Source organism: Homo sapiens, chromosome 1, assembly GCF_000001405.40.
Source record: "Homo sapiens chromosome 1, GRCh38.p14 Primary Assembly".
Lineage (NCBI taxonomy): Eukaryota > Metazoa > Chordata > Mammalia > Primates > Hominidae > Homo > Homo sapiens.
The window spans coordinates 143659659-143685395 of NC_000001.11; the positions used below are offsets into that span (position 1 = coordinate 143659659).

General features: G+C 43.8%; 1 long non-coding RNA gene and 1 pseudogene across 1 annotated transcript; one reads left to right on the top strand and one right to left on the bottom strand.

Moving 5' to 3' along the window:
• The first annotated feature begins 1311 nt into the window (after window positions 1–1311).
• On the top strand, window positions 1312–24894 carry LOC124904406 (uncharacterized). Its single transcript, XR_007066578.1, has 2 exons — window positions 1312–1432; window positions 24737–24894. It is a non-coding gene; the product is annotated as an uncharacterized LOC124904406 (long non-coding RNA).
• On the bottom strand, window positions 7330–7401 carry TRE-TTC7-1 (tRNA-Glu (anticodon TTC) 7-1; annotated as a pseudogene).
• Window positions 24895–25737: the final 843 nt, after the last annotated feature.

Genomic DNA, 25737 nt, shown 5'->3' on the forward strand with positions numbered 1-25737 from the left:
ATATGCCATAGATTTAGAAATTAAAACGAAACCCTAAAGTTATTGGAAGAGAATGTAGCAGAATACATTTCTGCCTTAAGAGATAACAGGAAAAAATAAAGCAAAGTAGAATTTAACCAAAGTTATCAACTTCTGCTCATCAAGAATCACCATGAAAAGGGAGAAGGTGAGCCACAGACTGGGAGAAGATAATTGCCCCGTGTTTACCTGAAAAAAAAAATAACTCAAATCTTGAATATAGAGAGTACTTTTTACAAATCAGTAATAAAAGGCAAAGCCAATTGAATTAGGGAAAATGCTTCAATAGCCTCTCTTCTCAAAGGATTGCTAAATGGTGAAAACGCATTAGTAAATATGCTCAACAGCATTACTCATTAAAGGAAACACAAATTGAAGCCATGATGTGGTACCGTTTTACATCCACCAGAATGGGTGTATTTAAAAGACAGTAAACACCACGTGCTGTCAAGGATGTTCAGCCAGTGGAACTCTCCTTGCTGGTGAGAAAGCATTCTGGAAGAAACCATTTGGCCGTTTCTAATAAAGTTAACATTACACCTACCATATGATTGAACAATTCCAGTACTTGGTATTCCTCAAAGGAAATGAATGCACGTGTCCACAAAAAGACCCCACACAAGAAGAATCTTCATTCGCCTTGTCCAGCTAGTGGAATCTGTTTCTTACCAGCAGGAGTAGAAGTCTGAACATTTCTCTTGGTATCATTTCTCTTGGCCTCTTGGTATCAGAGTCGCCAAGGAAAATACAACGCAGTCAAGCACTGGACGGAAAAACAACACATTATTCACACAGAGAGGAGACACAGCCGGGTGTGGGCTCCGCTTCAGTAGTGGGCGTTGGTCCCCCATGGCCATCCGGTCCCTCCATTTGGCCTGCACACACAGCCTCTTGAGAAGCAGAAGAAAGGGCCCCTCCCCCTCCCCTCAGCGGGGAGCAGATACAGCAGCTGGCCAGGTGCCAGTTGATGCACATGTTTAAGTGGAACAAAGGGGTACACAGTCTGATCGGGGGAAAGATACTCCCACACAAGGAGGTGAGTCCAGCACAGGCTGTGAGGACTCCTTATCTCTTGGGAAGGAAGTGCTCCAGGCCCAAGGCCCATTCCTACCCGGCAGAGTGGAAGTGGAAAGACCCCTGGCACGAGATTGCCTTTCCCCACACTTTCCTGTTGGCATACAAACTTGGCGACGAGCTGGGAGACAAGCCATTGTAGGCCACAACAAAGAGTTTGAAGTTTAAAGTCATTAAAAGCTTGTCGTTTCGTGTGTAACAGCCCCAGTGACTGGAAAACAGGTTCTGAGGGCACCATTGCCTTCGTGTAAGCCACCAACAGGGCTGACTGGGTTATTTGCTGTGTGAGGCTCGGAAATGGACGGAGCACGTCCAGCGCTTCCCTTGGATTCCTCGCCAGGTTAGTGGGCTGTGAGGTCTCTTTTCCTTTCCCTGAGGCGCCTGGTTGCAGGGAGCGAAAGTGGATAGCTGACGGCCTGGAAGAACGACATTGCCGTGACTCGGATTCGAATCGAGGTTGCTGCGGCCACAGCGCAGAGTACTAACCACTATACGATCATGGCGAGCCACAGGCCAAGCGATGATAGCTGAGCTTGCTCTACTAATTTTGACATCAATAGATTTCGATTATTAGGCGGCTTTGTTCCCAGACAGCTACAGGGGGATCGCGCTATTCTTTCATACCCGCTCTGCTTTTCCCTCCCTTCCTCCCAATCCTCATATGTGATGAGAAAAATTCTTATCTCCTCCACTCCAGCCTGGGCCTCTCTCGCGAGGTCTCTCTGTCCTCATTCGCACCTCCTCTACTTCTCTCCGGCCTCTCCGTATTTCTGCTTTTCACCCTTCCTCTCTCCCGCCGGACCGACCGAAGCAGAGGTGAGCGAGGGTAGCGCAAGCAGCGTAGCGAGTCAGGTGAAGGCGGAGCCAAGAACTGCGAGAGCTGTCACTAGAGCCCACCGGGCGTTCTGCTTGCTTCCCTTCGGACCCACGCGATTCAGGCTCAGGGAGTCGCGGACCCGGGCGTTTCCAGGATGCTGGGTCTGATGCCTGCGAGGGGCAGGACGAGGCGAAGGCCATTCCGCTGCCCTTCCAGCTTCAGAATCACCCAATGCACGGGTTTCAACCGTAGCCGGCAAGCTGCCCCTCTCCGGTTTTCCGAGGCTTTGGAGCCTGCACAATTGTTCTACAAAAGGCGGTGGCTCCGCCTAACGTTAGATGGACGCTTGCTCTGCGTGGTGATACCAGAGCGAGAGTCGACTGTTCCTGTGTCGCAGTCGGGTGGTGTGCTTGCTTCCAAGTCTGGAGGCGGGTGGTTCGAGCTCGTTCTATGGAACGTTTCCTGCATTTTAAAAATGCTTAAACCGCTGGCAACTTTCTTCTATCCAGCACATGCACTCATGGAAAGGCAGAGCGAGACCAACTTTACCCTCCTCTCATCCCTCTCCCTCTCCCTCCCCCTCTGCCCCTCCCCCTCCCCCTCCCCCTCCCCCTCCCCCTCCCTCTCCCTCTCCAGACGGAGTCTCGCTCTGTTGCCAGGATGGAGTGCAGTGGCGCGATCTCGGCTCACTGCAACCTCCGACTCTCTGGTTCAAGCAATTCTCCTTCCTCAGCCTCCAGAGTAGCTAGGCTTATAGGCACAAGCTACCACGCCCAGCTAATTTTTGTATTTTTTAGTAGAGACGGGGTTTCACCATGTTGGCCAGGGTGGTGTGGATCTCCTGACCTGATGATCCGCCCGCTTAGCCTCCCCAGAGTGCTGGGATTACAGGCGTGAACCACCGCGCCTGACACTCTCTGTCATTCATTTAGCCCTTTCCATACGCTTTTGAGGTTAAATTGGTTCTGTGATTTTACTATTACATATAATGCTCTAGTCATTCTTGTATGGGCACTTTCAGCCACTGGTGTAAGTATTTCTATAGGGTAGAGGTGCAATTACTATGTGGAAAGCAATTACTCTATCATAGTGTTCACACGGTTTTTATATCATTCCATTCTCTCTCCTCTGTTTGCTTATTAGATATAACTCTTTCTTTTGTTATTTTAGTAATTGCCTTAGGGCTTATAGCAAACCATTTTAACTTATCACAGTCAACCTTCAAGTGATATTATACCTCGCCTTCTGGCCTTGATGCTGATGCTGTAGCTGACATGCACTTTGCTTTTACGCATGTTACAAACCCCACAACACATTGTTATTGCTTTTGTTTAAATGGTCAAATTTTTACAAAAGAAATTTACAGAATAAAAAAAAAACTAGTATAGTTACCCATTTCTGGTGTTCATTTCCTCGTGTAGATCTGGATTTTCATCTGGTATTGGATTCCTTCTGCCTGGAAGACTCCTTTGACGTTTCTTGTAGTGTGGGTTGGCTGGTAGTGAATTCTTTCAGCTTTTGTACATCTCTAAATGTCCTTATTTTACTTCCAGTTTTGATAATTTATTTTTTGTGGTATAGTATTCTAGGTTAACTTCCCCTGCCCTCAGTACCTTAAAGATGTTGCTTCTATGTCTGCTCATGTGCATTGCTGCTCCTGGTAGAGGCCGGCAAGAGCAGAAAGGAAGCTGATGCAATCCTCATCTTTGTTCCTGTGTATGTACAATGTATTTTTCTTCTGGCCGGATTTGAGCAATATTATTATGAGGTATCTAGGAGTGGTTTTCTTCATGTTTCTTGTGCTTTGGTTTCCTCAGCTCCTTGGGTCACTGGATTTATAATTTTTGTTATGATTGGGGACTTTTCAGCTATTGTTTCTTCAAAAATTGGCCGGACACAGTGGTTCACAACTTCAGGAGGCCAAGTCGGGAGGTGTTGAGTGAGGCCTGAAATTTAAGACCAGCCTGGGCAATGTACTGAGACCCCATTCCTAATAAAAGTAACAAAGAAAGAAATAAATGTTTCCTTTCCCCCCTGCTCCTTCTCAGGGACTTCCATTACTCATAATTTAAACCTCTTAAGTCTGCCCTACAGTTCACTGATAATCTTTTATTTTAAAAAAATCTCTTTTGTCTGTGAGTTTCATTTTGCATATTTTCAATTATTCATGGTTCCATGTTCCCTGATCATTTCTTCTGCAACGTCTAATCTGCTGTTGATCCCATCCAGTGAATTTATCATCTCTGATATTGTGGTTTTGGCGTGATATCGGCTCACTGCAACCTCCTCCTCCCAGGTTCAAGTGATCCTCCGGCTTCAGCCTCCCAAGTAGCTGGGACTACAGGCATGTACCACGATACCAGGCTAACTTTTTGTATTTTGAGTAGAGATGGAGGTTTCACCGTGTTAGCCAGGATCGTCTTCATCTCCTGACTTTGTGATCCACCTGACTCAGACTCCCAAAGTGCTGGGATTACAGTCGTAAGCCACCGCACCCAGCCCCCTCCCTTCCTTCCTTCCTTCCCTCCTTCCTTCCTTCCTTGAGACAGGGTCTCACCCTGTAGCCCAAGCTGGACTTCAGTGGTGTAATCTTGGCTCACGCAACTTCTGCCTCCCAGGCTCAAACAATCCTCCCACTGCAACCTCCTGAGTAGCCGGGACTACAGGCACACACCACCATGCCTGGCTAATTATTTGAATTTTTTTGGTAGAGATGAGGTTTCCTTATGTTGCCCAGTCTGGTCTGAAACTCCTGAGCTCAAGGGATCAGCCCACCTCAGCCTCCCAAACTGCTGGGATTACAGGTGCCTGTTTGTTTGCAGAGAGGAGCAGTGAGCAGATTTCAGGCAGGAGAGTAAATCGGGCATCCGTTACTCAAACTTTGCCGGGAGCCTAAGGCATCTCTTTACATGTTCTTAGTTTGACTTCAACAGGAGGTGTGTCAGTTTATCTTCCAACATATTTTTCCAACTCAATGAGAGAGCCTTTTCCTTCGTGCTCTTGCCAGCACAGCAGTTTCCATATATCAGTCTGATGTACCAGTGAGGGGGTGGTGCCCTGCCTGACTTACCTAAGCAGGAGGTGCAGCAGAAAGACATGGTGGACAGTTCCCAGAGATACTCTCTGGCACGTGTTCCACAGCTAAACCTCCAAGATGTTTAGAAAGTCTTCCAGTAATTGTAATTGTTTTCTCTGGTGATCTACCTAAGCCCAGAGAAAACTGGCTGGAGAGACCCTGAACTGCTTCCTGTCAAGAGGCTTATCAAATAGGAGGGGAAAGAATGGCTCCTTCTAGAAATTTGTTCCTTTTCTCTTTTCTTTATGAATTGCATTCTGCTTTTGTTGAATGCAAACGATCTACAGACTGTTCTCCCTCCTAGACAAGGGTGAATTGGCATGCTAATAACTACCTCTGTGTTATTCCTTCCTTGATGGTGTTTGTTTTGTTTTGTTTTTCTGTAAAACTCATCTCACTGGAGACAAATCTCTGGATCCTGCACCTCACCATGCTTCTTATGCAGACCTGGATCCTTGGAGTTATTGGCTCCCTTTGCCTTGTTTATTTTGTTGACTCTCTTCAGCAAAACTGAACTCCAACTTTTACACCCTAAATCTGGCTCTTGGACATATAGGTCCTTTTGCTTTCTGACTCCTCCTCAACCCAGCCCTGCCTTTCCAACCTCTCCATCTGTATCTGTGTGCCTGTGTCTGTCTGTCTGTCTCTCATACCCCAGGCTGCCCCCAGTATTACCCACTTTCTTCTCCCCCTCTTCAGTGTTCAGGGTACACCTTCTTCTCTGCCTACAGAGTCCCACAGGCTGAGGGTGCGTCCCCTTACAGAGAGGGGAGCTCATTCCAGAAGGTGCCCTCTAGACTTGGAATTAACCCTACAAACAACACCCAGGTTTGAAAAGCTTTTTCTGTCTTCCCATTACCTGCATTATTCAAAGGACTAAAAGTGGGGAGTCCAGTAGAATTCTTGATGTCTCTCAGAAGCCTGCATTGGAATGCCTTCATTCACCGAGCATATGTTGGGTGCTCACAAGGTGTGAAGCCTTGCTCTAGGTGAGTAGCTGCATGGTGAGCAAGTCCTGCCCCACCGAGCCCACATCTGGAGGAATCAAAAGGGACCGGGCAGTGGGAACACAACCAGCTCGTGTCCTCCCCACAAGTGTTTCCCCATTCGGGCACAGGGAACACAAGCGGTAAGCATGACAGATAAAGCATAGCGAAGGATGGGGAAGTGGGTGACTTCAGACCAAGAGGCTACTGTGGTCATGTGCAGTGGGGCCACTTCCGACAGGGGAAGTGCAGGGGGACAGTGTGGGCCAGGGAGAATGTCGTGGATCTGGCATTCCTGCATCTTGCCCTCACTCACATGGCCTGGTGTCAACTCAGAAATGTGCCCAACCACACAACTTCTGGCCTCCGTGTCACCTAGAAGACATCTAGAACCCATGCAATAGCACAAAGAAGTGAGGATGTGCAGCCTGGGGATGGGGGCATTTAATAATAGACAGGTGTCTGAGGCAGATGTCCTCAGATTTCCAGGCACCACTTGCCTCTTTGTGGAGCAATCAGGGCAATCATCGGCAAAAAACTAAAGACTACTCGTCCTGTTCCATGCAGAGGCGTAGTTAACCTTGTAACTATTCTTTTCTGACCTTCATTCTTCCACGTCCAGATATATGGGGGTCTTTGTTGCCCATCTGCTTCAAGTTAGATGAAGAAAATCCTGCCTGAAGGCTTAAGGGTTTGTTAGAAAAATAAATGCTGTTCAGAAAAGGTGCATTTTAGGCAAAAGCTCAGTTCTGGAGCTCCAGAACCTACCTATCCCAAGCCCAATACACACCTCCTTTCTCTCCCTCCCTGCTCATCGCACCTGCCTTCGCTGATTCTTCAGGCTGCACATCTCTGAGAAGATGACAATCCCTAGCAGAAGAACAAGAGAACCTTGGACACTTCTGTCCATGAAGCCATAGACGCGAGCAGATAGCCTCATTCCATGGCGGTGTGACTCTGAAGTCACTCAGGTTTTCTGTGCCTCCATTTCCACATTGTAAAATGGGCCCAATAGGAATGAGTTTCTGAATGGGTTGTTCCAAGTTTAAATAAGACACGGCAGTAAAACATTGAACACACACCCTGATGCATAGTAAACGCTCCAAGAGCAGTAGCCATTATTACTATCATTATCATCGGTGGCTTCATGACGGCTATTATCGTTATCTACATCCATCTTTGAAATAATTGTATATCCTTTTAGGGTATGGAGGGATTGCAACATATAACAAATCCTAACTGATGAACATTTCTTATTACAAATATTGCTGCTGGGAACATATTTCTGTATTTTAATCATCACCTGTGTGTTTCTCTATCAAATCTTCTCACACAATTTGGGGATGTTGCAAAAGTCATTCCCTGACCGGGAATCGAACGCGGGCCGCGGCAGTGAAAGCGCCAAATCCTAGCCACTTGACCACCAGACACAGAAATCTCCTTGTCAGAGGAAACAAGAGAAGGTAAAGATTAACTTTCTAAGAGGAGGAGAGCCCCACTGAAAATGGCTCTCTGTGACCCAAGCGGGCTGCAGGACTGCAGGGCTCCAAGCAGTCACTGCCCAGCTGCTCAACACCTCTCACCTCTGCTAGCCTGGCCACTGCTTTGGGCTGTATTGAGGACAGGCCACAAGGAAACTGAGCGGTGTTCCATTCTAGCCTTGCTGTAGCATGGTGTGAGGCAGAGCCAGGCACTTGCTCTCTTTCCGAGCCTCAGTTTCCTTGCCACCAAAGTGCGGACGTGGCTCTCAGAGGGTGATGAGCCGAGTCCTTCTAGTTCCCGATCTCTGAACTGGCTCAAGGGGCTCTACCGATAAAGACATGTGTAGGGGTCCCCTTTCGCCCCCAACTAGCTCAATTAGTAGAGCATGAAACTCTGAATGGATGGGTCTTTGGCTCGAGCTCCAGGTGCAGATTTAGGTTCATTTTCTTTTGTTCCGCCACACAATTCGACCGGTTCCGCAACTGAGCTCGGGTCGCGAGGAAGCCAAGTGGGCTTCACAGGAAAGACCTCCTTGGTTTCAGAGACATTGTAGCTGTCAGCTTGAAATCTTCAGAAAGAAGATTTCGGCGATAGATGAGAAGACTGGAAATTTCTGGATCTAAAGCTAACATGAAGTCCGCCTCATCCGGCGCCCTCGTCTCCCGATCCAATTCACGGCGGGCAAACCAGGCCTGGTTCCTAATGCTCAGCGAAGGGTTTCAGGTAGTAATGGAACTCCTCCCGTGCTTCCAGAAGCTGCTGCAGCCGGCGGGGTTTGAGCGCCGGAGTTCCGGGCGGCAGTAGTGTGGACCCCGCCCCTCCAGGTCTATGGGCCCCGCCTCGGGACCTTATCCCTGGCGTCCGGCCTTCAGGGCTCTTGGCTTTGACAGGGTACCGACTTTCGTGGTCCTTCCAGGAGCTGCAGGACCCTGCCTGCCCGCCCTTCACTCAAGTCAAGGGGCCTCATCCCTGTGCTCTTTCCTCGCTTTGGGCTCTCCACTCAGGGTGTCAACAGAGGTAGGTCAGGTGAGAAACCTGGATTTCCACACACACCTGGCTACAAGGAGATGGCACCACTCCCCTTCTCCTGCAGAAGCAGACTCAGAAAAAAGGTAATTAAAACAGAAGGTTTCAATAAAATCGAGAGTCTGATAACATAATACCCAAAAGTCCAAGTTTCTATTGAAAATCATTCATTACACTAAGAACCAGAAAATCTTATTCTGATTGAAAATAGACAGCAAATACACACCGGCAATAAGATGAGAGAGGGGTCGGGATTGTCTGACAAAGATTTTAAAGCAAGCAAGCCTGATGAAAATGATGCAGTAATTATGAGCACATTCGAAACAAATGGACAAATAGAAAGCCTTAGCAAATAAATACAAGACTTACAGGAGAAACAAATGGAAGTATTAGAAGTGGAAAATACAACAACCAAAGTAAAAAGTCCGGCACATAGGCTCAACAGCAGAATGGATGGTGCAGAGCAAAGAAATCCATCCACTGCAGATGAAAAAATAGAAATTACACAATCTTAACAAGCAAAAAATAGACTGGGTGAGAAAGTGAATAGAACCTCAGGGACTTGTGGAACTGCCTCACAAGGTCTCACTTTCATGTTGTTATCTATGTCTGGAAGGGGAAGAAGAAGAGGAAGAGGCTGAAAACATAAAGAAGTCAATGGCTAAAAGCTTGCCAGAGTTGGCAAGAGACAGAAACCTACAGGTTCAAGAAGCTGTGAAGACCCCAAATAGGAGAAAACCCAAAGACGTCTATGGCAAGATACATGAAAAAATAAAATGTAGGAAATGAAAGACAAAGAAAATATCTTGAAAGCAACAGAGAAAGGTGACACTTTACCTAGAAAGGAAAAACAATTCTGGTGATGATGGATTTCTCATCAGAAACCAAGGAGGCAGAAAGAAGTTGTGCAGTGCTTTTCAAGCCATGAAAGAAAACAATTGTCAGCCCAGACTCCTCTGTCCAGCAGAAACATCTTTCAGGGATTAAGAGGAAGATCAAAACTGTTTCAGATTAAGAAGAGCTAAGGGAATCTCTGACCACCAGTTCTACCTTAAAACAAAAGGCTAAAGGGAGTTCTCTAGACAGAAAGGAAGTGATTAAAGAAGGAACCTTGGGACATCAGGAAGAAAATTTAAAAAAAAAAAAAAAAAGTAAGCAAAATAGGCCTTCCTTCTTCTCTTGAGTTTTCTAAACTATGATTGACGGCTTCAGAAAAAAATCATAGCATCATTCAAAGTGGTTCTAACTCTCCAAAAAGAAAATGTTTGAAACAATTATAAACTGGGAGGGTGAAGAGACCGGTAAGGAAGGTAACTCATCTATCATTCACTCATACTGGTACAACAATGACACCAGTATACTGTGTGGTAAGACATAGATGCACAGACATATGAATATCAGGGAAAACCAAGAGGGCTATCCAAACAGATATATGCAAAAACACTATGGATAAGGCAAAACACCATTCTCAAAGACGTTCAAGTCACCACAGGAAGGTAAGAAAAAGAAAGCATATCCAGAAAACGACACCAGAGAGAACAAACACAAAAAGAAAAATATAATGGCAGACTTAAGCCCTACCATATCAATCATCATATTAAATATAAATGGCCTAAGTACACCAATTACAAGACAGAGATTGGCAGAGTAGGTTAATGGACATGACCCAACTACATCCTGGCTGCAAAGAGACTACCTTCAAATATGATGATACAGGAAAGTTGAAATCAAAAGGATGGAAAAAGATACATCATGCAAACCTTAGACAAAGGAAAGCAAGACTGGCTATATTAATGCCAGATATAGTATATTTCAGAACAAAGAAACTAATCAGAGACAGAGAGGGACATTATATAATGAGGAAACAACCAATCCACGAACTCCTCTCCTGACAAAAGTCATAAATGTCTATGCAACAACAACTGAAAGTACTGAACAGAGAACTAGGCAAATCCACAAATATAGCTATATGCTTCGAAGTTCCCCTTTCTTAACAATTTATACAAAAACCAGACAGAAAATCAACAAGAATATAGAAGAACCCAACAGCATGATCAACCAGCGGGGCTTAAATTGACAATTTTAGAACACCCAACCACGTCAGAATACACATTGTTAAGGGATGCATTGTGCCCGGCCCCCCCAGATTCATATGTTGAAATCAGAACATTAGTGGCAACTAGTAATATACTAGTTAAAATCACAATGAGAAATTGCTAACATACCTATCAGAATGGCCAAAAGAAAAGCATGACCACATCAAGTGCTGTCAAGGATTCAGAGAAAGCTGGATCACTCATACATTGCTGGTGGAAATGTAAAAAGTGACAGCCCACTCTGGAGAATATCTGTATAGTTTTTACTTTTTAAACTATATGTGCAACTACCATACCACCTAGGAATTGCATTCTCTGCATTTATCACAGAGAAATAGAATCTTATGTTCACACAAAATCCATGTACTTAAAGTTTATAGCAGCCTTGTTTTTAATAGCCAAAACTGGGGGAAAAATGTATAGACGACTTTCATGAGGTGAATGGTTAAACAAACTGTGATATATATCCATAGCACTGAAGAGTCCTCAATAATTTTTTAAAAAACAACAAACTATTGATACCCACAATAACCTGGATGAATCTCCACAGAATTATGCTGAGTGGACAAAGGGTAATCCCAAAGGTGACATGTAGGAGTCCATTTATGCAAATTATTCTTGAAATAAATAAATTATAAAAATAGGGAATAGATTAGTAGTTGCCAGGGATTAAGGAGGGAAGGAGGAGCAGCACTGAAGAGACAGGGTCATGGCTATAAAAAGGCAACATGATGAATCCTAGTATTGATGGAAATGTTCTGTACCTTGCTTGTATCAATGTCAATCTCCTGGTACAGTGGCATTTGCAATACATTTGCAATATTTGCAAATATTACTAAGATGTTACCATTGGAGGAAACTGAGTAAAGGATACAAGGGACCTCTCTTTTTCTCTCTGAGTTCCTAAGATTGTATGTGAATTATTAAAATGTAAAAATTAACTTAAGAAAACCTAAGTATATTTCTCCTTTACTGATCATGCCTTTGCTTAAAAACATTAAGGCAACAATATTTTTCCCAACACCCTTTATTTTCTTGAAGACAGTTTTAACAAAAGCTGTTCTTAGGGCTTTTCCTAAAAGTTTAAAACTTCCAGTAATCCTTACTGTTCTTCTTTGAGAACCCTCCAGGGTTTTGTTTTCCAAAAGAATAAAGACAAAAACTGGCAACTGGCATATAATACTATATTAGTCTTAGTTCTCCAGAGAAAGAAAATGAGCAGGATACACACACATACACACACAGAAGCAGAGAAGCCCAAGTTCTACTCTGAGTAAGCTCTAGACCTAGGAGAGTCAAATATAGTTCAAGACAAAGTCCAAGGCTTAAGGCAGAAGACTGATGTCCCAGCTCAAAGACAGTGCAGCAGAAAAACTTCTTTCTTAACCCTTCATCCTAGTCAAGCCGTCCATGGGTTGGATGAGGCCCACTCACACTCAGGAGGGAAATCTGCTTCAATCAGTTTACTGATTCAAATGTCAATCTCTTCCAGAAACACCCTCAGAGACACAGTGAGAAATCATGTCTAACCAAACATCTGGGCACTCCCTGGCCCAGTCAAATTGACACAAAAATTAACCTTCACAAATGCTCTCAATAGAAGTGATTAATAAATGTAGCATCATGTACTGCCTGTTTATCCCGTGACAATTAATATATTCCAGCATAACATTGGCTTCTGTTCCCTTACTGTAGGAACACATAGGAGTTTCATTTAAAGTGAGGATAACTTTTACCTTATGGAGTCTCTCCCTACCCGTACCTACCATTGCCACTTGTGGATTGTCATTTTGCCATGGCTTTCTTATTCATAATATCAATAAGCTGTATACTTTGCTAATGTAAGTTTGAATTTCATCCTGGCTGCATAAGTCACTTTCCATTTTGACAAAGCCTAGAAATATTTTTGTTTATCTCCTGTATATTGGTAACACATACCTATTGTGGGGCCCACTCTCAATCTCATGGTTTTCTTTATTTTCATTCAGCTCTCAATAGATATGCCTAGGCTGCTTGAACATCACTGAAAATGGCCTGTGGCCTTGTCCATCTATCAGAGTCCAGTAAAATCCTGGCCATGGAATGGGGGGATGGAAAGTGAGAACCACCAAACTCAGCACACAAAGACTCAGTTTAAACCTCTGCGCTAAGAGATGACCAGACTCTATCATGGCTCCTAATAGCATAAGACCATGTCCCATGGATGACCCTAGGCTCCCATGACAATGCCTACCTAAGAAAGCTCAAGGCTACCAGGGGAACTTACTTTAGTTCTAGCCAATACCTGCTGATGATGGTAGGTTCTTTCTTATAGCATTTACTAAGAAGGGAATCCCTCCTCCATCCCTTTGAGATATGTATGTATCTCCTAGGGACTCCAGTGTGTCTTTCCACAGGATTTGAAAGCCATTCCTTTTAGGTGTAGTCCTCAGGAAGGACAGAATCTCTGTCTTCCGGTCTCTGTGGGAGGTTAGGATCCTAACATCTAATATTGCCAGCTGGCAGAAACAGCTGTCCTGATGAGGCAGAAGCTTACAATGATCAATCTTTCATAATGTTTCACTTGTGCCCTGACCCTGCCCTCTCCCCTGCCTCACTCTCTCATTAGAATGCCATCACCTCTGCACAAACGGGATGGAATTCAGCCCCCTCTGCTTTGGTCAGTAGTTACTGAATAAAATCTGTTTTCACAGCTTTGACTAATGTCTGACTTTATCTTTGACAAAATAAGTGCAAGCAATTGTTTTGAGCAACACAGCAGCCACAAAGAGAGGCACAGACATGTCGGGAGAGGGAGGAATCATCTGACCCTTCTCATTTCACAGGCATCTATTCCTGCCTGGTGTTTATGAGCCTGAGACTTGGCTGGGCTGCCCTGGTGTATCACTCCATGGCTCTGGGGCAAGACTTGAGTAGGCTGGTGGTGGCACTTGGTGTGACCACAGCCACCTTCAAAGATGCCATTAAGGGTTCACAAGAAAATGAAAGGAAACATAGAGAAACTGATTTTGAAAGTTGTTGCCTCTCCTGCTTCCTCATTCAGAGTGTGTATGATATTGCTGTGTGATGTTAGTTGGACTGCAATTTAGCACAACAGCTGTTCTAATAATTGGCAGTTTCTCATCGAGTTAAGCCTACCTGAAAGGGAAGCACACTTACCTTTATTGATCACCCCCGTTAAATGAACAATACATCCAACAAGGCTTCTACCAAAAATGTTCTTATTAACCTCATTTGTATACTAAGGAAAAACTGGGAACAACACAAACCTTCATCAACAGAAGAATTTAATACGGACTGTTATATAGTCATAAAACGATCCCAGAAGTTCGCTGCATAACATCAAACCCAGGAACCCACACTGATGCCACTGATGGCAGAAAATCTTGATACAAAAATAAGAGAGACGAGAGACAGAAAATGTGCTATAACCATAGTAGTGGGTAAAAGCCAAAGAGCTCAGTTTCTATTCATGATATTCGATAGAAGAACAGAAGGAACATGAGCCAATAGCTCTAAGGGTCCAGGTCTGCACAAGGTGCCTGTTGGGTGCAGGGTTCTGTTGGCTCCAGTGTTGTATCTCAAATGGGCTAATTTTTATGGACATAGCCACTGCAGAAATCTATCAAAGAATAATAAAGGGATAGCTATTTGCATGTTAATTTACCATTGTATAGGAGGGAGAACGGGCCTTAGATTGGTTTGGTCAAATAAAAGCAAAACCGAGATTTATGAAGAAAAGAGGAAAGGGGAGAGGAAAAAAGTCATCTGGGAACTTTGTGATTTTGCTCCCCTTGGATAAGCGACTTGACAGAAAGCTGTCAAAGAGGTCATTGTGACCCATCTTCTCCATACCCACATGACTTGGTCACCACAGAAAACAATTACAGATGTTGGAGGACTTTAAAACATCCTAGAAGTTTAGCAGCTCATCCTATGCCACAGAATATCTGTGAGTAATGTCCACCATGTCCTTCGGTTGTACACCCCCTCAGTTAAGCCAGGAGGACGCCTCTTCCCTCAGTGGAATATCATACGTCGATGTGTAGAAAGTTGGTTGTGCCAGCAAGTAAATGACAAAAGGGACATTGATAGAATTGGGAAACACATTGGAGTATGATTTGCTACTGCTCCCACGGAAGATAAATTTGCAGAATGTACTCAAATTAGAAGCATTATATAAATGCTGTAATGTAAAAATGGCACATCCTGTTCTCTACACTATAGAAATATCTGCATGAGTGACCAAAGATATGTGTACAAGAATGGTGGAGATTGCAGCATCATTTGTAATCCTAAAGTCATGAAACCCACCTCATTTCAAAAACATCTTGAAAAGGGTTAAATCATGCACAAACAGAGGAAGAAATGCTGTTTTCACAAACAATGGCGAGGATCACCATGAGGATGAGTGATTCCACTGGTCACATTATTGATAGAGCAATCAGTAAACCCAGGCACATCCTGAGAATAGGATACTACTGTAATAGCTCTCCTATTACTAAACATGAAAAACTCGAGGCACTTTACTCCCACAAGCCTTCCATGGGAGCAAAGAACATTTTTATCACACTAGAAGTGAGTTCCTCTCTAAGGTCTCTGGGATTCCTGAGTTTGACAGATACAAGGCACCATGGGCCTTGCCAAGCCTCAGCCCTAGAAGATGGGGAGGAGGACATGTGTGTCTCCTGATTAGGCTGGAGTTGATTGTATATCAACAGAAACAACAAAAATCAAATCATGAACTATTTTTCTATGGGGAAGTTTTGTTTTGTTTTGTTTTGCGACAGGGTCTCACTTGGTCGCCCAGGCTGGAGTGTACTGGTGCAAACAAGGCTCACTGCAGCCTCGACCTCCTGGGGCCAAGTGATATTCTTGCCTCAGCCCCCAAGTAGCTGAGACGACAGGCTAATTTTTGTATTTTTTGTAGAGACAAGATTTCGACATGTTGCTGAGGCTCGTCGCGAAGGGGAAGTAAGTTCTTTTTAAAAAGCATTTATTCCGATTGATTTCTCCGCATCCTGTGGGGCGCGCAAGGGGCAAGGCCTCCCGTGGCCTCTCTTGCCACTCTGAACCAGGGAGCTGTGGGGGCTCAGCTGCGTTGTTTTTGGGTGCGTGTCTGGGGCAGGAGGCCGGGGCCGGGCAAGGGGTGAATCCAACAGGGAACTGCGAGGAGGAGGGCAAGGAAGTCGGTAGAGGCATGCACCAGGGAAACTTCCCAGTAGCTTTGTGCAGCGATAAGGACTGCACAAGGGAGAGATGAGAAGTGTTTTCTTATTGTATCAGAATGGGGAAGAAAGGGGGGAAAAACGGAGAGACACCAAGAAAGAACGAAATCTACGCGGACCCTTGGGTCTCCAAAAGGGAAGCAGTCCTGCATTAAGTTTAAAGAAGGAGCGCGGCGCGCTTCAGCTCCTGTGGCTTGCCGTGATCTTATTGTGGTTAGTACTTTACGCGGTGGCCGCAGCAGCCTGGGCTCGAATCCCAGTCGTGGCAACGTCCATTCTAGGGTGTAGCGCTCTTCTTTCCCTTTAGCCTCTAACCTCAGCCTAGGCTGCGCTGTTGACCTGCGGCTAGAGAGGTCACAACTTTCCTGTGACTTCGGAACTCTCTGTGGTGTCGAGAATAGAAGGAAACCCTACCCTGAATGCCTAGGGGTCCGGTTATCTTGAAAGACTTTTCCTCCTCTCTGAGCAAGTACAACACCCAAAAGATGAGGTGCCCCCTCTCAGTCAGCCTTATTGGAATCTTTAATGTTAACATGATGTGGCCGTACCCGTTTTTCTGGCTCAGATATTTCAAAAATCCGTGGGGCCTTTTTCAGGCCAAATCAGAAATGAACAAGAGAAGATGAGAGTTCGCACTCCAACTGGGTATTTTAAGCAAAACCTAAAGAATACAATAAAATCTAAAGTTTGTGACTTTCTCCAACCCCAATTTTTAATTTTGTTTTTATTTATTTATTTATTTATTTTGCTATCAGTAAATGATTGAAGTATAATCCACAGAGACCAAAGTGCACCAATCTTAAGTGTGTGAGCCAGTGCATTTTGACAAAAGAAACCATCACCTATGTCAAGTTATGGTACATTTTCAACAGACCAAGAAGTCATTAGAGCCCCTTTCCAGTCAATCCTCACCCCATCCCCATTTAGGCAATCACCATTCTGACTTCTATCTCCGTGATTTACTCTTGCTTCTTGTAGAAATCACGTAAAGGACTACATTGATTTTACCTGTTTTCTTTTAATGCAACAATGATATGTGATGCTTCCATTTTATGACATGTATCTCAGCTCTTTGGTGTTATTGATGAGTGTTATTCCAACATGTGAATATACTACAGTTGATGGACAATTGGGCTATTTCTAGTTTTGGCTATTGTGAATAAGGTGTTTACAAATATTCTACTATGGGTCTTTTTATGGACCTGTGCCTTCATTTCTATTGAGTATAAATCTAGTAATGGAATGGCTGGGTCATAAATAGGTGTATTTTTAACTGTATTAGAAACTATCAGACAGTATTTTAGAATGGTGGCACTATTGTATTTTCTCTCTCTCTCTTTTTTTTTTTTTTTTTTTTTTTGAGACAGAGTCTCGCTTTGTCACCCAGGTTGGAGTGCAATTGCAGGATCTCCACTCACTACAACCTCCACCTCACGGGTTCAAGCAATTCTCCTGCCTCAGCCTCCTCCTGAGTACTTGGGATTACAGGAGTGCACCACCATGCCTGGCTAATTTTTGTATTTTTAGTAGAGACAGGGTTTCACCATGTTGGCCAGGCTGGTCTCGAAATCCTGACCTCATGATCTGCCCACCTCAGCCTACCAAAGTGCTGGGATTACAGGCGTGAGCCATCACACCTGGCCTATATGCAAACTTCTGTATCAGAATAGAAAAGTTGAGAAGATAGTACACAGAATGGAGTAAAGAGGATGGAATGGGTTTTTGGAAACCAATTCACAATTTAAAGTTGTTTTAACACCCCTAATCCCCAAAGAAAAATGTATATTCTCCAAAGACATCCCTTTCTTAAAATATGCAGAGAAAGTGTGGGATAAAAGAGCATGTAGTAAACTTCTCAGAACGTGTGTCTGGAAGTGGACAGGGGAATGGGAGTGGGATGAACAGAGAAAAGAAGGAAAGACAGTAAGGGCCTTGCTGAGAGCAGCCACCATAATGTGCCCTGAGCTAAGGTACATGATTACCTTCTTCCTGTGCACCTGAGATCTAACAGAATGTATTGACTTATCAGGGATATGGAATTTCAAAAACACTACAGGAAATCAAAAAATTTACCAAAACAGAACAGTCTAGTTAAGAAAGGCAGGAAGAGATTTTATAAACAAAGCAAAAACACAGAAATCATACAGTGAGGTGGTGGGAATGAGACTATGCGCATCGTCTCCAATATAACACTAATTACTGCTAATTATAATGGATTTAAGTATCTCATATTGGATAGAAAAGGAAATGCCAGCTCTAATGCTTTAATGGTGGAAAAGGGTTAAATATTCAAAGCAGTGCACATTATTATTGTTAGTAGTAGTAGTAGTATTTTGAGATAGAGTCTCACTCTTGCCAGACTGGAGTGCAGTGGCTCGATCTCGGCTCACTGCAACCTCTACCTCCTGTGTTCAAGCGATTCTTCTGCCTCAGGCTCCTGAGTAGCTGGGACTATAGGTCGCGCGCCACCATGCCCAGCTAATTTTTGTATTTTTAGTAGAGATTTTAGTAGAGATTTCATATCGGCCAGGCTGGTCTCAAACTCCTGACCTGGTGACCCACCCGCCTCGACCTCCCAAAGTGCTGAGATTACAGATGTGAACCACCGCACCAGGTCAAAAGCAGTGCACATTATCATTAGCAAGCTAGCCCAGAAAGAGAAAACCAAACACCGTGTGTTCTGACTTATAAGTTGGAGCCGAATATGAGAATGCTTGGATACATAGGTTTCGGGGGTGAGGACAACACACACTGGAGCCTGTTGGAAGGTGGGGGTTGGGAGGAGGGAGAGCATCAGGAAGAGTAGCTAATGGATGCTGGGCTTAGTACCTGGGTGATGGGAAGGTCAGTGCAGCAAACCACCATGGCACACATTTACCTATGAGACAAACCTGCACATACTGCACATGTACCCCTGAACTTAAAGTAAAAGTTGGAAATAAAAAATTTTTTAAAGTCAAGAAAACAAACAACAAAAAGAGTAGTGCAAATCTGTACCATGCTCATTTGTACGACTCTTTTGTTTGTACCACCAAACAAAAGAATGAGAGTGAAAACATGAATATCTGACAAAAGTAAACAGCAAAAGAACACTTTATGTTAGGAGTAATACCCTAGCATCTACCTAGAATGAAATGAAACTGTTTTTCCCTGAACTGGCCTCCCAAGCTGAACTCTTGGGACTGTGCCTGGGATGCTCCAGGAGACCAGGGTGATAATTGAACTTCCCTCCTCCTACACCTCTATCGAGTTCCTGGAAAACGCCAGCGATCAGATCTTGCTTTTAACTTCTTATACTTTACAGAGACCTAAACAAGAGGGAAGAAATGGACATTTCATGCCAAGATTTCTTCCCTTCACCTCACACTCGAGTTCCTGGGTTCTGACGGCCTTTTTTGAGGAAAGTGCTGATGTTTGCGTCAAGGTTGGGAGGAAAGGGTTTGGGAGGTACCAGGCAATGGGGAGGCAAAGAGAAGACATCAACAAGCGAGGCAAGAACTTTCCACAGGCTGACACTGGATACAAGACCAGAGACAAAAAGCTGGGTGAATTTCTGATGTTTTCCTACAGAGGTTTTTTATCCAGTTGCACACAGCCTACTCAGAATAAGGCTTTTTCAAGTCAACCCTTTTAATGTGAAGCCATAATTTTGTGGTGTTGCCTGATGCAAATCTCCACTGTGAGCCTTTGCTCTGGGTGTCTTTTTTGTTAGTCACATCTTCCAAAGAGAACATGGTGAAAATCTTGACTCCTTTCCCCAAGTCTGTGTCTTAACTGTTTCCAAGGCTGCAGAGCTCGGGGGTCAGGAGGCATTGGCGGTACAGTGGCAGAATTCTCGCCTCCCACACGGGAGACCTGGATTCCATTTCCGGCAAATGCAGCGTCCTGTCTTTGTGCCCTGTGGTTTTCACATTTACTTACTGTGCCACGCTAATGAAGAAAAAAAAAGGAGCGGGGGGTCGGGGGAACCACTGTGTACTCCTCAGGTTCTTTCCGTAGCGGAATTTATTTTTCTTTTATTTATTTATTTTTGTTTGTTTGTTTGTTTGAGACAGAGTCTCGGTCTGTGGCCCAGATTGGAGTGCACTTGCACTATCCTGGCTCACTGCAACCTCCACCTTCCGGGCTCAAGTGATTCTCATGCCTCAGCCTCCCAAGTAGCTGGGATTACAGGCACATGCCACCATTTCCTGCTAATTTTTGTATTTTTAGTAGAGACGGGGTTTCACCATGTTGGCTAGGCTGATCTTGAACTACTGACCTCACATGATCCATCAGCCTCGGCCTCCCAAAGTGCTGGGATTACAGGTGTGAACTCCGCCCCGGAGCGGAATTTACCTAAGCAGAGACTCTCTTTGAAGCAGCCTGTGGGTCTGGTTGGTCTCCGCGTTTCTACATATTTGGCCCTAAAACCGGCACGACTTTTATCGTCTCTGTTGTTGGATCTCTGCAGTACAAAGAGTCACCTGGTCACTGATTCTCTGCCTGGACCTTGGATAGACCATTGGGACACATCTTGCGATGGAGTGCGACTCAAGCAATGACATTCCTGAAAGGAGAGAAGCTGTGGGGTTGGGCGGACACACGCAATGTTGGGGAACTGGGACCCAGGGAGAGGGGAGGCTTGTGAGAAGGAACCCACGTGCAGATGAGGGGAGCTGCAGAGAGGGGCCTCGGACCTTCCTGTTGAGGAAAGCCCAGTCTTTAGTGGTCTCGGCAAATTAAAGGATTGGCCCCGAGTGGAGAGCAGCATATCCCCAAAACTCATTTCTATCAGCCCTGTTTGTTTTACACTCCACCAGGCAAATCTTCTGTCCACGGGATTCTTTTTAATGCTTCTCTTTAAGCAGCGTGGTGGGGAGGCCATGGCGATCATTAGCTCTGGAGGCCTGGGGAGGACACTCTGAAGAAGAAAGCCCTGCGATTATCCGGTTTCACCCTGTTTTCATCTACTCTTTGCCTCAGCGAAGTTTATATTGGGTCCTCTATGTTACATCACAGCTGCTGCACTGGCGGATTAAGAGCCGCTGACAAGTCTCTTTCGGGAAGGGGTAAGAAGCGCAGCTGGCCCAGAGCCATGGAGAGAGACGCAAGAGCAGAACCGAAAATACTTTCCTCCTTCTTGTTCTCTCTCTGCTATTGGTGAACATCAACCTTCCACACAAACCGGTTCAATACTGCCTTGGTCTCTACAGGAGGTTTACCAATTTTTACAGTTCCCGTAAGCCATGTTTTCTTCTCGTTTCTACAGTTCTTCCAGGGTTGAGTTTCAGGAGCTGGTCAGCAGTCCAGACTAGTTCAACATCCTGGTTCAAAACCATTTGTCTCGTTTCGCTACTAGGGTAAAGCTTGCCTCCTAGACCAGAGTTAAGACGTGTTCCCTCGGCTTCTGTTTTCTAGAGAGAATTGGCATAGTTTCTTCCTTAAATGTTTGGTAGTGAAACCATCTAGACCTGGTGCTTTGTTCTGGAAGGTTGTTAATTGTTGCTTCAATTGCATTAATAGATAGAGACCTATCTAGGTTGTCTATTTCTCCTTGTATGAGTTTTGGTCAACTTTATCTTTCAAGGACTTGGTCCAATTCATTGAAGTTATCAAATTTGTGAGCAGAGAATTGTGCATAATAGTCCTCTACTATCCTTTTAATGTCCACGAGATCTGTAGTGAGGGTCATTGTTTTCTTTTTCATATTAGTAATTTGTACCTTTTCTCATTGTTTCTTGGCTCACCAGCTAAAGGTTTATCAATTTTATTGGTCCTTTCAAAGAACACTCTTTAGGTTTTGTTGACATTTTTCTAATGATTTCTGGTTTTCAATTTCCTTGATTTCTGCTTTAGTGTTTATTGTTTCTTGTCTTCTACTCACTTTGGACTTGATTTGCTCTTGTTTTCTTTGAGTTTCCTAAAGTGCAAGTTTGGATTATTGATTTTAGATTTTTATTTGTAATATTTAATCTTTTAAAATCCATTATTATTTTACTTTTTGTACAGTAATTCTTTTAGTGTAATATAATTTTGTTCTGGTAAAAATTTCAGTTTTATTTTATGTACCAAGTGTACATGTATAGGATTGTTACATGGATATATTGGACCCAGGTAGTTCACATAGTACCCAATAGCTAGTTTTTCAACCCACTCTCCCTCCCTCCCTCCCTACCTCATGGTAGTCCACAGTGTCTACGGTTCCCAGGTTTATGTCTGTGTGAACTCAATATTTAGGTTCCGCTCCTAAGTGAGAACATTCGGTATTTCATTTTCTGATTCTGCATTAGTTTCCTCCAGAGTATGGCCTCCTCCTCTCTCCATGTTATTGCAAAAGACATGATTTCATTCTGTTTTATGGGTGTATAGTATTCCATGTTGTATATATACCACATTTTCTTTATTTAATCCACCACTGATGGGCATCTAGCTTGATTCCATGTCTTCGCTATTGTGAATAGCCTGGTGATAATCATAGGAGTGCATGTGTCTTTTTCTTTTAATGATTTACATTTCTTTGAGTATATACCCAGTAACGAGATTACTGGTTGAATAACAGCTCTGTTGTAGGTTCTTTGAGAAATCTCCAAACTGCTTTCCACAGTGACTGAACTAATTTACATTCACTCCAAGCATTTATAAACTTTCTCTCCAGAGCCTTATTAGCATCTGTTGGTTTTTGACTTTTTAATAATGGCCATTCTGAGTGATGTGAGATGGTATCTCATTGTAGCTTTGATTTGCATTTCTCTGATTATTAGTGATGATGAGCATTTATTCCTGTGTTTGCTGGCTGCTTGGATGTCTTCTTTTATGAAGTGTCTGTTCATGTCTCTTTGCCCACTTTTTAATGGGATTTTTTTTCTTGTTGATTTTTTTAAAGTTCCTTATAGATTTTGGACATTAGACCTTTGTCAGATTCACAGTTTGTGAATATTTTCTCCCATTCTGTCGGTGGTCTGTTGACTCTGTTGATGGTTTCTTTTGCTGTGCAGAAGCTCTTTCATTGAATTAGGTCTTACTTGTGAATTTTTGTCTTTGCTACAATTGCTTTTGTGGACTTGGCCGTAAATTCTTTGCCACGGCTGATGTTGAGAATGATATTTCCTAGGTTTTCTTCTACGGTTTTTCTGCTTTGAGGTCCCAGTATATATTGTGTCATTGCAAATGACAACCAACCAGAAACTAATCATTACAAGCCAAGAAAGGGAACTTATTGGTGACCAGGAAAAATGTCCAACAAATGAAAATTAGTAAAAGAGATTCCTGGGTGTCTTTTTCTGTAAAGCCTGGGGCATTGTTGTCTGCAGAGTTCACATTTTCTGTAAAGGGCCAGGGAGATAGGAAGTATTGTAGGCTTCTGAGCCAAGAGGCAAAATTAAGGATATTATGTAGGTGCACATATAACCAGGAAGAAAACAAATTTCTAAGCCATTTTTATTGATGAGATTCTAAACTAACAATAGCAACTGAGTAGAACTTCTCAGGTGGTAAATGTTCGCTGCATTGAGAGCCTAGGCTCAGCTTTCCTAGAATCCCTGGTACAGCCCTCCCTTTCCACCCCTTAGGCTGTTTCCTCCCTGTTTTCCTCAGAAGAGTTCCATACAAAAGACCTACTACTCTGAGAAACAGTGAAGTACTCCTGGGGCCCACCAAAGCACACGAGTCAAGAAGTGGATGGCCTTGTCCCAGCTATGGCTCAGATCACCTTTGCAGGATGACATCTTGTTGGGAGATTGTCATCAGAGCCAGGGACATGGAAGATGCTGTCAGAAGGATGAAAGGACTGGTGCCCAGGGGGAGAAGTGGCCAAACAACTCTGCATTCAGCCTCACAAAAATCTCAAGGGGATGTAGAAATGGGAACAGGGCGAATGGAAAACTCTTTCAAGCAGGGTTTTGGGGTCCTGAGCTGATCTCTATTTTTCCTCCTACAACCTGCCGCACAGGCTATTTTCTCACCTCTGTGGATGGAAACTGCATCCTTCCATATGCTCAGTCCAAAAATCTTTGAGTTTTCTTTGACTGCTGATCTTTCCTTCACACCCTATAGCTGTTTAGTCAAGAATTCACATTATGCTGAGCATCAGGTGTGCTCCTTAATCCACACCATCCTTTTCCCCCAGTTTATAAAACTTGTAAAGTCATTCTCCTGATAAAGACAATAGGATTTCCATGAAATTGCACAATTTTTATCCTTCCTGGATACATGACTCATGTAAGAGCTCTGCTATTGTTTGCTACCATTTCCCCCTATTTTTATTTCATACCTGTTTGACCTGCATTCTTTCCCATAAGCCAGGCACTTCAGCTCAGGTGTGCTTTCCTAATCATAGAATTAGCAATAGCAGCCTTGCTAACAACTTCTTCCTGGCCCCACCACCAGGCAAATGTCACAGGATTTAATAGGTAAAGAATCGTAGGATCGCTGAGCATGGTGGCTCATGCCTGTAATCCAGGTCTTTGGGAGGCTGAGGTGGGTGGATCACTTGAGGTCAGAGTTTGAGACCAGCCTGACCAACATGGAGAAACCCCGTCTCTACTAAAAATACAAAATTAGCCAGGCATGGTGACGCATGCCTGTAATCCCAGCTACTTGAGAGGCTGAGGCAGGAATATTGCTTGAATCTGCGAGGCGGAGGTTGCAGTGAGCCTAGATTGCGCCACTGCACTCCAGCCTGGGCAACAAGAACTAAACTCCATTTCAAAAAAAAAAAAAAAAAAAAAGAATCATAGGATCGTGCCTATTACTCGGTTTTATAAAATGAATTGTTTTCCCCTGAATTCATATGTTGAAAGCTTAACCCCCAACTTGACTGTATTTAGAGATAGAGTCTTTAAGGAGGTAATTAAGGTTAATTAGGCCATACAGTTGGGGTCCTAATCTGGTCAGAATGGTGTCCATATAAGAAGAGGAAGGGCATCAAAGAATCTGTCTCTTTCTCCACACAGGCACAGAGGAAAGGCTATGGGAGCACAAAGCAAGAAAGTGGACTTCTGCAAGCCAGGAAGAAAGGCCTCCCCAGAAACCAACTCTGTGAGCACATCGATCTTTGACTTTTGGCCTCCAGAATATTGAGAAAATAAAAGTCTGTTGTTAAGCCACCCAACCTATGGTATCTTTCTATGGCAGCCTGAGCTGACTAATACCCTTGGTAGGTGGGTGGCAGTCACCTTACTGGGCTACATGATGTGAAGTTAAAGTAACTTTAGCAATAGGCACCATGTAATTTCATTGTATAGATATTATGTCTTTTGCACTGATATTGCTTTTTTAGTTGTATGTATATTGATGCCTGGGCCTAGCATTACAAGACCAGTCAAAATGGGAAGAAAGAAAAGAAGGTGGGAAAGATACCAAGTTCCATAATTGCATCCTCTACCCACATCCAGTTCTTAGAATCTTTTCTGCTGGAGGCTGCACCTTGTGTACACTCAAATTCAATCTGAGCACACAATCATTTAAACAACCAAGGCAACTTTTCCAATTTTCAGCATCACGCGCTTGAGGAAACAAGTATTTCATCACTAATTTAATATTCATTGAGATAATTGTTCTCAGGTTGATGAAAAATGTGGTGTATCCATTTACTGTTGTCTTCTTCTGGGTGAAGAATGTTGCCTTTACTCTCTAGCTCACATTTGACCAGAAACTGGAGTCCCAGCAAATCTTAGTAGCCACTTAGGAAGCCTATTTTAAGATATTCCCAATCTCAAACTTGTTCTAAGACTAGTATGCTTATTGAGGAGAAAGAGCTTCATGACAAAAATTCAACTAGAGCTGTGGGTGACAGTTGTGTGTTTCAGTGCTGGTCTGGGCCCAGGTTTCCCATGAGCACCTAATGAATAGGCTCATTTGCAGAGATCGTCAAGGTGTTCACTATGTCTCTCTCACAGCCTCAAAAGAAGTGATCGGCTAAAAGAATTTGTGTAGTATCCTGAAGGGAAATTAG